This window comes from Homo sapiens, chromosome 8, assembly GCF_000001405.40.
Source record: "Homo sapiens chromosome 8, GRCh38.p14 Primary Assembly".
NCBI classification, from domain to species: domain Eukaryota; kingdom Metazoa; phylum Chordata; class Mammalia; order Primates; family Hominidae; genus Homo; species Homo sapiens.
In genome coordinates, this window is record NC_000008.11 from 29,271,062 (window position 1) to 29,285,084 (window position 14,023).

A 14,023-nucleotide genomic window follows, 5' to 3' on the forward strand; every position below is an offset into this window, starting at 1 on the left:
AATAGTCTACACTGACCAGCTTCCCTTCTCCACCTGTCATTAGTCAACCAATGATTAATTCAATCACGCTTTCACCTGCCTTCACCCCTGCACTAAAACTGTCATGACAAAGCACACCATTGACCTTCCCTTCGCAAATCTAGGAGCGTGGTTTTTGGTCCTCATTTGATGTCTCTGTAATAGTTGGTGTTATTGAGCATCCGCTTCTGGAAACTTTTGATTCCCTTGGCTTCTATGACATGGCTCTTTTCCCCTTGTTTTAAGTAATATATTAGGTTAGTTAAAACACTTCCTTATCACAGGCTTGGAACTATGTTAGGAGCCTGGGATACAAAGATTTATTTATTTTTCCCCCGAGACGGAGTTTCGCTCCTATGCCCAGGCTGGAGTGAAGTGGTGTGATCTCGGCTCACTGCAACCTCCGCCTCCCGGGTTCAAGTGATTCTCCTGCCTCAGCCTCCGGAGTTACTGGGATTACAGACGTGTGCCACCTTGCCTGGCTAATTTTTGTGTTTTCAGTTGAGACAGGGTGTTGCCATGTTGGCCAGGCTGGTCTTGAACTCCTGACCTCAGGCCCAAAGTGCTAGGATTACAGGCATGAGCCACCTTGCCCAGCCGGGATACAAAGATTTTTAAAAGACGCCTGGTCTTTAAGGACTAAGAGGTTTGGTCAGATTTCTGGAAATTTGGTAACTTCTTCAGGTTGTATTGCTGCTCTTTGCTGCTCAGTACGGAGTGGGAACCCCCTTTAAGGACACTATCCTTGAAAAGGAGGAGGCTCAGTAGCTCGGCCTGGGGGAGAACGTGGAAGGCAAAGCTAAGGACCTTCAGGTGTTCCTGGGGAAAGAGGAGCTAGAGATGAAGTGGGCAGGCTGGGCACGGGGGCTCACACCTGTAATCCCTGCACTTTGGGAGGCCAAGGCGGGCAGATCACTTGAGGTCAGGAGTTCGAGACCAGCCTGGCCAACATGGTGAAACGCCATCTCTATTAAAAAAATACAAAAATTAGCCAGGCGTGGTGGCGGGCGCCTGTAATCCCAGCTACTGGGGAGGCTGAGGCAGGATAATTGATTGAACTCAGGAGGCGGAGGTTGCAGTGAACTGAGATCGTGTCACTGAACTCCAATCTGGGCAACAGAGCAAGACTCCGTCTCAAAAAAAAAGAAAAGAAAAGAAAAGAAAAAAAAGTGGGCAGCTGAGGAAAGAAAGAAGACAAAAGAGTCGGGCGTGGTGGCTCAAGCATGTAATCCCAGCACTTTGGGAAGCAGAGAGGGGAGGATGGCTTGAGGATATGAGTTTGAGACTAGCCTGGGCAATATAGCAAGATCCTGTCTTAAAAAAAAAAAAATTAGCCAGGGCTAGGCACAGTGACTCATGCCTGTAATCCTAGTGCTTTGGGAGGCTGAGGCAGGTGGATCACCTGAGGTCATAGGTTCGAGACCAGCCTGGCCAACATGGAGAAAACCCATCTCTACTAAAAATACAAAACTTAGCCAGGCGTGGTGGCAGGCACCTGTAGTCCCAGCTACTTGAGAGGCTGAGACAGGAGAATCGCTTGAACCCAGTGGGTGGAGATTGCAGTGAGGCAAGATCGCGCCACTTCACTCCAGCCTGGGAGAAAAAGCGAAACTCCATCTCAAAAATAAATAAATAAGAAAAGAAAAATTAGCTGGGTGTGGTGGTGCATGCCTGTGATTCCAGCTACTTGGGAGGCTGAGATAGGAGGATTGCTCCAGCCCAGGAGTTTGAGGCTGCAGTGAGCCATGATTGTGCCACTGCACACCAGCCTGGGCCACAGAATGAGATGTCAGCTCAAAAAAATAAAGAGGACCAAAGGCAAAAGAAAGAAATGCTAGTCTGCATCAGAGAGTAGCCTCAGGGGCATACCATGCAAAAAGTTCAAGTGAGTTTGTGTACCTCAAAAACCACATCTCTCCTATCCACTTATCCTGAACCCATTGCAATCAGCCTTCAACAGCTCTTGCTTTCAAAGCCTTGCACGGCCCCTCCCCAAAGATATCTCCCAGGCAGAAACTATCCTTCCTAACTGTGCACAGGCGTCACTCACTTTGTCATAGGTGGATTGCATTTCTCCTGAGAAGGTAAAGTCACAACCCTGTGGGTTTAGGAGGCTGAATTGAATTGACTTGGATTTTAAGGAATTGAGATGTTTAGAAGGATCTTCTTGGATGTTGAAGGTTAAAGATGTCCCCTAAAAGAGGCTAAGGACAGGGCGAGGTGGCTCCCGCCTGTAATCCCAGCACTTTGGGAGGCCAAGGTGGGCGGATTGCCTGAGCTCAGGAGTTCGAGACCAGCTTGGGAAACATGGCGAAACCCTGTCTCTACTAAAAATACAAAAAATTAGCCAGGCGTGGTGGTGGGCGCCTGTAGTCCCAGCTACTCAGGAGGCTGAGGCATGAGAATCGCTTGAACCCTGGAGGCAGAAGTTGCAATGAGCCAAGATTGTGCCACTGCACTCTAACCTGACCGACAGAGTGAGATTCTGTCTCCAAAATAAAAAATAAAATAAAATAAAATAGGCTAGGTAGAATGGACCCAGGCAATGCACACTTTCCCTAAGGTTTGGAATAAGCTAGTGTTTACAAGCCCAGAAGGCAAGGTGTACTTTATAAACTAAATTAGTTATGTATTGGTTTTCTTTAGGTTTACCCTCTGTGTTTAGTAAATGTTTCTTAAATTTATGTTTATTTCACCTATGCAAGGGGAAGCAAAGGAAAGGACATTGGTCCACATGTGGGACAGAGGTTTGAAAAGGAGGAAGTCTAACCTCTGAGGCCAATGTGGTGGGGGCAGTGGGAACTGGGGAACCACAGTAAGAGACAAATCAGAAGTAGAGATTTGGGCCAGGCATGGTGGCTTACACCTGTAATCCCAGCACTTTGGGAAGCTGAGGCAGGCGGATCACGTGAGGTCAGGAGTTCAAGACCATCCTGGCCAATATGGTAAAATCCTGTCTCTACTAAAAATACAAAAATTAGTCAAACATGGTGGTCAGTACCTGTAATCCCAGCTAATCAGGAGGGTGAGGCAGGAGAATCACCTGAACCTGGGAAGTGGAGGTTGCAGTGAGCTTAGATGGCGCGAGATTCTGTCTAAATATACATGTTTATATATATAAATCTATATATAGATTAGAAGTCACTGGGTTCTGCCCCAGGAGAGTCTTCTTTTCATACTGATCATATAGCTCTGGGCTCTGGGCTCCACTTTATTCTGGAAAATGACACTTCCTTCCATTCCTAGCCCCTATTTTCTCTTCTCTTCCCAACTGATACAGTCCCTGTAACCCACACTGTTGCTTTAGTGACTTATACTCATGTGGCTACCTTTTCTAGGATGCTCTTTGCCAGTTGAAATCTAACCATTGAAGCCCCATTCTCTCCGTAAAGTCATGCTTCACTCATCCTGCACACCTTAATGTTTTCCTTCTGGAAACTTTTCTAGCACTGTGCCATATTCACATTTGGTTACAAGCTGACTTAAATAATGTATGTAGGTCTTGTCTTCTCCAATTAGACTGAGGACTTCTCAGTAGCAGAAATAATGTCTTCCCTTTTTTGGTATCACTCAAAGTGAAGAGTACACAGCCGACTTAATAAATACTCGGTGGCTGAATAGTGACTTTCAGATAAAAGAAGGCATAGAGGTGGGAGAGACCGGAGCCAAGGAAGGACTTTAATTATTTTGATTGATACTCTAGATTGACAAGAAATTAGAGGAATTACACAATCTTGAGTAGTGGGAGAAAAGATCTTTAGAATATTCTTTTGGCCTCTTTATTGACAAAATTGAAATCCCTTCTAATCTTCTAACCTCCAAAGAGCTAGAATTCTATTTCTGTCAGAAACTTAAAAACCATCTCCAAAAGCACAGATTTCACACTAAACTCCCCCAAAGTGTTCACTGTCTGGATGAACATCAATTTACAACCCCCATCCCCACTTTGTTGAAAAATGTCTCTAAAGAACAGCATCAATAATAAATCTCTGATAGGCCTAGTTCATCTCCATAAATCATTCAGGGACAGAGGTCAGGAGATAGTATTCTTTTGATATTATTTAAGGCAGATTGTACAGTTCAGGCCCCATTAGTGAGCACAAAAGGACACCCATAAAATATTCACAGGCTGTGGTACAAACGCATTGACTGCCTGGGGCACCCACCTCCGGAGGGATTAGATTAGTCAGAAGAACTTGCGGTTGCAGCCTACATGCTCCCTTAAGCTCAGAGGTTCCCATAGCTCATCAGCAAATCTGATCTAGAATTTTCCAGGGATTTCAAAAAATCCACAGGAGAAAGAGTGAGATAAGCCAGAGGTAAAGAAACTATTTTGCCCAGGGCCCCTAGCCTAAGGAGAAGCAACTGACTTTTTCCCCCCAAGAATAATGTGGACAAGGAGCAAAGCTCTCCTCTGAGAAATATTAGATAAATTAAGAGTTGGATAAAAAGAAATCTGGCAGAGGTAGGCCTGGGGAGGAGTCCAGCCTACATCCATATACAAAGACACTCTCCTCCCTGTATTCATTATCAATATTTTAAAAATCAAATATAATTCAATTTAACCAATATTTGACTGCATATGTAATAAATGCAAGGTACTTGCCCAACAGGGAATTAAAGTGAATATGACACACTTGACATTTCCAGAAAGTTAGAATTTGTTTGAAGGTAATTATGCTGTTACAATGGAATCAAATGTCCGTAGAATTCCTACTTTGTTACCAGGCAGGTAAACAAGAGCTTGTTTTCCCAAGCATGTCACATGTTGCACCTGCAGGTGGGTGGTGGAGGTGAGGCCTGAGCCTAGGAGCAGAGGAAGAAGAACCAGTCACCCCTGATTCAGATCTAGAAGGTGTCACTTAGGCAGGAAACATGAGAATGGGTGGGCAATCCTGCTTCTGGAGGGAAGAGAAGGTCGGAGAAAATGGCACAAGCTCCAAGAGATGTCGCCTGCGGTTTTAATCTTCTGGCTGCTGGGCATGAAGCAGTTAAAGAGAAACCCAAGACAGCTGCAGCCAGGGGCTCCATAATAGCCACGCAGAGGAAGCGCATAGAGGTCATTTTTCTATGCCACGAAGGGAGACTTGTTTCAGCTGAGACCCAATCTGGATGCTGTTCTGCTCACCAGGAAGCCAGGAGCTATAAAACCCTCCCAGTGCCACAGCATGCGTGACTCAGAGGCAGCTGAGCAGGACCCAGAACAGAGGGACAGCTGCTGCGGGCTCACCCTTTTCCATCTTCTACGGGAGGAAAGCACAAGCCTCCCTAGAAACAGGATGATTTAGCCATCGTTTACCAATATAAATTCCAGACAAATGAAAGGCTTGGTATAAAAACTAGAAAAACTAAAGAAAAGAAAAGTGAATATTTAGCTGATCTCGAGCAAAGGGAGAAGGCATCAGTAATAGTAACAGTACTGAGATACTTGCTCAAAGTCTATCTAGGTGGAGCTGGGACTCAAACTTAGAACTCCAGAGCCTCATTCTTTTTTTTTTTTTTTGAGATGGAGTTTTGCTCTTGTTGCCCAGGCTGGAGTGCACTGGCGCGATCTCGGCTCACTGCAACCTCTGCCTCCCGGGTTCAAGCAATTCTCCTGCCTTAGCCTCCCATGTAGCTGGGATTACAGGTGCCCGCCACCATGCCTGGCTAATTTTTGTATTTTTTTAGTAGAGATCGGGTTTCACCACGTTGGCCAGGCTGGTCTCAAACTCCTGACCTCAGGTGATCCACCTGCCTTGGCCTCCCAAAGTGTTGGAATTACAGGCATGAGCCACTGTGCCTGGCCCAGAGCCCCATACTTTATTTAAAAATATATATATATTTTTTTAGAGACGAGGTCTGTGTTGCCCAGAGCTCAAGTGACCCTCCCCTCTCAGCCTCCCAAAGTGTTGGGATTATGAACGTGGGCCACCATGCCCGGCCCAGAGCCCCACTCTTAAACTTGCATGAAACTGTCTCCTTAAGGAAAAACTAAAAATAGGTAACTCAGAAGATAAAGACTTCTACAGTATGTCCAAATAATCCACCATAAAGAGCAAGCAACAATTTGAGATGTTTTTGCAATATATGATAGGCGTGGGGTACAGTCCTAAAGAAGTCTTAACAAATCAAAAAGAAAAAGACAAAAAGAGGTCGGTAAAAATGTTGCCAAAAGTTAAAAACAGGCTGCTCCAACGGAAGTCATTTGGTGACCAATGAACATATGAAAAATGTTCAGTCTTTCTAGGAATCAAAGAAATGTACATTTTCTCAAAAATTATTCATCAAATCATTATTTAACATACATTTTCTTGTCTAACGATTTGGCAAACTTTTTTTTTAAGAGATGGTATGGGGGGTGGGTGGTCTTGCTATGTTGTTCAGGCTGGCCTTGAACTCCTGGGCTCAAGGGATCCACCCACCTCAGCCTCTCAGAGTGCTGGGATTACAGGCATGAGCCACCACCTGGCTAGCAAACTTTTAGCAAAAAGCTAATGCCTAGTTTTTGGTGTATGGTGACCAGCTTTTTAGAGAGTCAACTGGGAAACAATCATAACAGACCAAAAAAAAAATATATATATATGTATATATATATATATATTTACACATATGTGTGTTACTACTTTAACATAAAATATGAAAAATAGGTATTTATTTAAAATTACATATTCTGTGTTACTTTTCTTCCATAAATGCTATTATTTAAACAAAACCACATAAGACTAGTTAACAGAGGCAATTAGTAGTAATTAATAATAGAAGTAATTAAAAATAATGTGCAAGAAAGTATAATGATATTTTATAACGTTTCTTTGCATCCTCTGATACAACAATTTTTTTTTTTTTTTTGAGACAGAGTCTCATTCTGTTACCCAGGCTGGAGGGCAGTAGTGTGATCTCTGCTCACTGCAACCTCCGCCTCTCGGGTTCAAGTGATTCTCCTGCCTCAGCCTCTTGTGTAGCTGGGATTACAGATGTGCGCCACTATACCCGTCTAATTTTTGTATTTTTAGTAGAGACAGAGTTTCACCATATTGGCCAGGCTGGTCTCAAACTCCTGACCTCGAGTGACCCACCTGCCTCAGCCTCCCAAAGTGCTGGGATTACAGGTGTGAGCCACCGCTCCTGGCCCGATACAACAATTTTTTAACTCTTTATTAGATATTTAAATTGTGTAGATTATATTATTGTATATTCTTTTTTTTTTCCTTTTTTTCTTTGAGACAAGATCTCACTCTGCACCCAGGCTGAAATTCAGTGGCACAGACACGGTTCACTGCAGCCTCAACCTCCTAGGCTCAAGTGATCCTCCCAGCTCAGCCTCCAAAGTAGCTGGGACTACAGGCCTGTGCCACCTTGCCCAGCTAATTTTTGTATTTTTTATAGAGATAGGGTTTTGCTATGTTGCCCAAGCTAGTCTTGAACTCCAGGACTCAAGCAATCTGCCCACCTCAGCCTCCCAAAGTGCTGGGATTACAGACATGAGCCACTCCACCCGGCCTCATATATTCTTAAAATACACAAATGTAATACTCTTCGAAAGGAGAGCATGAATACAATAGGACTAGTTAAACAAATATTAACCTATATCTAATAAAAAATAATGATAGCCAGGCGCGGTGGCTCATGCCTGTAATTCTGGCACTTTGGGAGGCTGAGGGGGTGGATCACTCGAGGTCAGGAGTTTGAGACCAGCCTGGCCAACATAGTAAAACCCTATCTCTTCTAAAAATACAAAAATTAGCCGGACGTGGTGGTGCACACCTACAATCCCAGCTACTCAGGAGGCTGAGGCAGGAGAATCACTTGAACCCGGGAGAAGGAGGTTGCAGTGAGCGGAGATCGTGCCACTGCACTCCAGCCTGGGCGACAGACTCTGTCTCAAAATACCAGCAACAAAAAACAACAACATATTTCTTTCTGTTCCATAATATAGGATATTTTTACTCTTTGTTTTCTTTTCCAATAATATTCCTCTGAAATGCCTTCAGCCTTTAGGATATCCTTCTTTTTTTCCTGCAGTGGTGAACTGAATATGGTCAAATGAAAAATTCAGTCTGACCGGTAGCTCTGCCCTTATTGATCCCATGGTATACTAATTCCTGGTGTCAGTTTCTTGGGATGACATCAAGCTGAATATCATCTCAACAAAAGCTTGTAAGCGTGGAATCCTTAGGATTTTACTTACTAGTAATGGCAGGTTTTTAGACTAGGAAGAATTAGTTTCCAACACTCCAAAAATGTCCATCTGCTTTGTATCTACAGCCTTGTTTTGTAAACCAGCTGTTTTCAATGAGGCCCTCTGCATCTGTACATCCATCATATAGACGATCCACATCTAAGATGTGCATCATTTGTAAATATTCCAAAGGACATTGGATGCTGTCATAAGTTAAATCCCTCTCGGGAAAAATGGGTTTAAAGCACAGATGTAATCTGATTTTATGAAATAAAAACTGGATTCCAAATAAGTTGTAGTTTTAGTAAAGAAATCAGAAAGTCCTGTTTAACTTGGCTGCCTTTTTCTGGTAACATTTATCTTTTATTTTTTTTTTTAGTTTTGAAGCAGTCTTTGTTTCCAAAAATTACTATATACATGTTTGTCACAACCTACACAGAACAATTCATGTGGAGTCATGGCTCTTTATGGTCTTATGGCTTCTTCTAAGATCATCAGTTTTGGAGACACAGCATATAAATTTCTGTTAGTGTAACCTTTTTTTCCCCATAATTCAGCCTCAATGTATTTTCAAATTAGAGAAGGACATGCTCCTTGTCTCACTTTTTTTTTTTTTGAGATGGAGTCTTGCTCTGTCGCCCAGGCTAGAGTGCAAAGGTGTGATCTCGGCTCACTGCAGCCTCTGCCTCCCAGGTTCCAGTGATTCTCCTGCCTCAGCCTTCTGGGTAGCTGGGATTATAGGCATGCACCACCATGCCTGGCTAATTTTTGTATTTTTAGTAGAGACGGGGTTTCACCATGTTGGCCAGGCTGGGCTTGAACTCCTGACCTCAGGTGATCTGCCTGCCTCGGCCTCCCAAAGTGCTGGGATTACAGGGGTGAGCCACTGCACCTGGCCCTTGTCTCACATTTTGAAAATACAACTTTACAGACAATATTTAATTACCTGCCTGTAATCCCAGCACTTTAGAAGGCCAAGGCTGGAGGATCTCTTGAGTCCAGTCCAGGAGTTCAAGACTAACCTGGGCAACATAACAAGACCCTGTCTCTACAAGTAGTAAAAAAATTCACCGGGCATGATGATGCACGTCAGTGGTCCCACCTACTAAGTAGGCTGAGGAGGGGGGATTACTCGAACCCAGGAGTCTGAGGCTGTGCTGAGCTATGATCATGCCACTGCACCCCAGTCTGAGCAACAGACCAAGACCCTGTCTCAATAATAATAATAATAATAATTTTTTTTTTTGAGACAGAGTCTTGCTGTGTCGCCCAGGCTGGAGTGCAGTGGCGCAATCTCAGCTCACTGCAAGCTCCGCCTCCCAGGTTCACGCCATTCTCCTGCCTCAGCCTCCTGAGTAGCTGGGACTACAGGTGCCCGCCACCACGCCCGGCTAATTTTTTGTATTTTTAGTAGAGACAGGATTTCACCATGTTAGCCAGGATGGTCTTGATCTCCTGACCTTGTGATTCACCTGCCTCAGCCTCCCAAAGTACTGGGATTACAGGCGTGAGCCACTGCGCCTGGCAATAATAATTTTTTATAGCTGGCAGCCAGACAGTCGTCTTATGGGCACATGTCTAAGGAGACTACCTCCTTCCATTTTTATAAAGTCTAATATCTCATTAAGTAATCTTGCAGCTTTGAGGGAACTAACAAGTGACCAAAACTTTCATAATGAAAGCCTCAATGTTACAGGTAAGCAAGCCACACTCCATTTTAGCAATGTGGTGTCCAAAGTGTGCAGGACATTGAACAGGAAAGATCTTTTTTATTGTCTTTGGTAAGCAATATAAAAATGGAATGAAATTTCCCAAAATTTACATTTGTACTATTTGCCACATATGCAAATAGACTGGCAAGGCCCAGTTTATATTTGGATAATATATCAATATTAACTATATATCAATAATTTTGTTCTATGTTTTCTATAGTTTCATTAAAATCCTCATAGAAATCAAGAGGATGATTTGAAATTTGATTTTTTTTTTTTTTTTTTTTTTTTTTGGGAAAGTACCTAAGAAGTAGAGAGAACATTTTGTTGTTGTTGGGGAGGAGAAACCTTCCCTCTGCTGTCTTATATTCAGTAACTGAGGCCTGATAATTAAATGAACAAAAGACAGATTAACAGGGGAAAAGATAAAATTTTTGTTTAGCAGTTACATACACAGGCATTTACAGAAAAGAAGTGAAACTCAAAGAAGCAGTTGGACTCGGGTGCTTATATACCATTTTCACAAGGAAAAGAGTCCTTTGAGCTGCAGATGCAAGATAAAAATAAAATAAAATAAATAAAAACAAAGCAGTTTGGGCTTCAAGGGACAATCATGGGAAGTAACTAGAAATATATGGGGGAACTGGCCAGGTGCGGTGGCTCACGCCTGTCATCCCAGCACTTTGGGAGGTTGAGGCAGGTGGATCACTTGAGGCCAGGAGTTCGAGAGCAGCCTGGCCAACATTGTGAAACCCCGTCTCTACTAAAAATACAAAAATTAGCAGGGTGTAGTGGCAGGCACCTGTAATCCCAGCTACTCGGGAGGCTGAGGTAGGAGAATCGCTTGAACCTGGAAGGCAAAGATTGCAGTAAGCCGAGATTGCGCCACTGCACTCCAGCCTGGGAGACAGCGAGACTCTGTTTCAAACAACAACAACAAAAATATATGGGAGAACTAATGGAAGATAAGGGTTTCATGAGTAAGGTGTGTTTATGCAAACTGGTCTCAATGTCTTCTCCCTGTATCCAGTTATCAAAACGCTCTTCTGTTCTGGGGCAAGGAGAGAGTTACCTGTTTTGAGGGGAAATATATGCCTTATTTTTAGACAGGTGGGAGGACAGAGAGCTCTTCCCACATCTGCTATTTCTCAATTGCCTTCATCTCAAAAGAGTCAATATGCCAACGTGGCATGTTCTGGTTCCCTTCATGGTGACTGTTGTTGGTGTGATCTAACCCATTCTTTGAAATACTGGTGTTTCATAGAGCAATCAAGGGAACGATATGATAATGTGTGTTCTTTAGCGTGGTATGCTCAAGCCAATTCTTTTTTTTTTTTTTTAGATGGAGTCTCACTCTGTCACCCAGGCCAGAGTGCAGTGGTGCCATTAGGGCTCATTGCAGCCTTGAACTCCTGGGCTCAAGTGATCCTACTTCCTCAAGTGATCCTACTTCCTCAGCCTCCCTGCAGCTGAGACAGGTGCGCACCACCCCGCCTGGCTAATAGGTTTATTTTTTGTAGCAATAGGGACTTGCTATGTTACCCAGGCTGGTCTCAAACTCTTAGCCTCAAGTGATCTCACGTTTGCCTCTCAAAGTGCTGGGATTACAGGTGTGAGCCACCACACCCAGCCTTTTTGGTGTCTTTTGAAGAAACAGAAAAACTTCTGGCCAGGTGAAGCTGAGGCAGGAGGCCAAGGGATCCTTGGTGCAAGACCAACCTGGGCAACATAGCAAGACTGTTTCTACAAAAAATAAAAAGTATTAGTGGGGTGCAGTAGTGTGCACCTGTAGTCCCAGCTACCAGGAGGCTGAGGAAGGAGGATTGCTTGAACCCAGGAGTTTGAGGCTGCAGTGAGCCATGATCACACTACTGCACTCCAGCCTGGGTGACAGAGTAAGACCCTGTCTCAAAAACAAACAAACAAAAACCCAAAAAACCTTTTGATTGAGAAAGTCTTGCCTGTCTAACCCCAGACTTGTGAGAATCTGCTCCATATGTGCCTTATTCTCCTGTCTACCACACCCCACCCATCAAGTATGTGCTGTTTCTGCTATTTGCCTCCTTAATCAGGCACCCTGTCCTTCCAACTGTCATTAAAATGACACAGTTGTTTAGCCTTCCTTTTCAGTGACTACTGGGTCATGCTGGCATTGGTATTGTAATCTGAACTCTTAGAAAACCTGATCGTAATAGTCACAGTGTTAAAGATTAAACTACACTATCTCAATACAAACAAAGCACAACAGTTACTCCACAGGCAAAGGCAGAGCCAGACTGTCCATGCTCACAGTAACAAAGCATGTGAGTTGTGCACTGAAGTCCTATCATGCCCAGCAAGAATTATAGCAGCCCTTGTCCCTAATAATAATGTCTATTACTGGGAACTGCAAATCAGTATCAGTGGCCAATGACCATGGAAGGTGGACAGTCTGTGCACTAACCGCTTGACACCGAAACCAGTGTTGCTTTCAACCCCAATTTTTTGATTGCCATGCAAGTTTTGTACTTGACCTCAGTCTTCCACATTCATTGCTAAAAACTGGGACTTCTCATGTCCTGCAGAGGACTCTTGTGAAATGTGGAGCTTTAACTGCTAAAACCACACAGGCACAGGCCCTGTGAACAACAAACTTTCAGATATTTGTGGTAGAAATATATATTGGTGCAACTTTTCATTTTTCTTTCTTTTTTTTTTTTTTTTTTTTTGAGATGGAGTCTCGCTCTGCCGCCCAGGCAAGAGTGCAGCGGCACAATCTCAACTCACTGCAACCTCCATCTCCCGGGTTTAAGCGATTCTCCTGCCTCAGCCTCCTGAGTAGCTGGGATTACAGGTGCCCACCACCACACCCGGCTAATTTTTGTATTTTTAGTAGAGATGGGGCTTCACCACTGTTGGCCAGGCTGGTCTCAAACTCCTGACCTCAGGTGATCCTCCTACCTTGGGTTCCCAAACTGCTGGGATGACAGGCATGAGCCACCATTCCCAGCCTTGTGCAACTTGTCTGGAGAGCAACTTGAATGTGCATTTCAAGAGTCTTAAACATATTTATAACTTTGAGCCAGTAATTCCATTTTCAGGAAATTTATCCTAAGGAAATAATTAAGGAAGTTCCTAAACATTTATAATTATGGATAGTTGACTGGGTTTTTTTTATAACATTTGAAAATTGAAAATAGTTTAAATTTTCAACAGTAGGGAAATAAACTGTGACATATATGTAATATATTAAATTTTTTAACAATGGGATGCAGTCATTAAGTACAGTCCTTTTGTTTTATGTTGCATGCCCTTCTAATGAATAAATGCAGTCCTTTAAACTCATGTTTTTGTACCTTAAAACTTATTTATTTATTTTCCATGACAGAGTCTTGCTCTGTCGCCCAGGCTGGAGTGCAGTGGTGCAATCTCGGCTCACTGAAACCTCTGCCTCCCGGTTTAAGCAATTTCCTGCCTCAGCCTCCCCAGTAGCTGGGATTACAGGCACCTGGTACCACGCCCATCTAATTTTTATATTTTTAGTAGACAGGGTTTCACCATGTTGGCCAGGCTGGTCTTGAACTCCTGACCTTGTGATCTGCCCGCCTCGGCCTCCCAAAGTACTGGGATTACAGGTGTGAGTTACCGTGCCTAGCCAAAACTCATTTTAAAAAGTAACTTTAAGAAGCAGTTTACAGTGTGATCTAATTTTTTGTCAAACAATGCATGTATATGAATATATATACAGTATAAGAAAAAGAAAAACTAGAAAGAAACAATTCACACTGTTATATGTGAGTGGGAAGATTATGGCTCATTTTACTTTTTTATTATACTTTTCATATTTTCCCAATTTTCTGTAATCAACACTTTTTTTCTGGTGCTTTTTAAAAATAATCAAATAAAATGTTTTAGTACTGTCTGAAGGTTGAGTGATTGCTAACTGTGAACATGAAATTTTTGGAATTAGCAGTAAGGCTCATGCTGTAAGGAAATGACTTTTCCATTGCAGACTAGAATGGGATGCTGATGCTGAGATAAACCATGAGAAACAGAAAACTCCAGGCTGGGCACGGTGGCTCACGCCTGTAATCCAACACTTTGGGAGGCTGAGGCGAGGATTGTTTGAGCCCAGGAGTTCAAGACCAGCCTA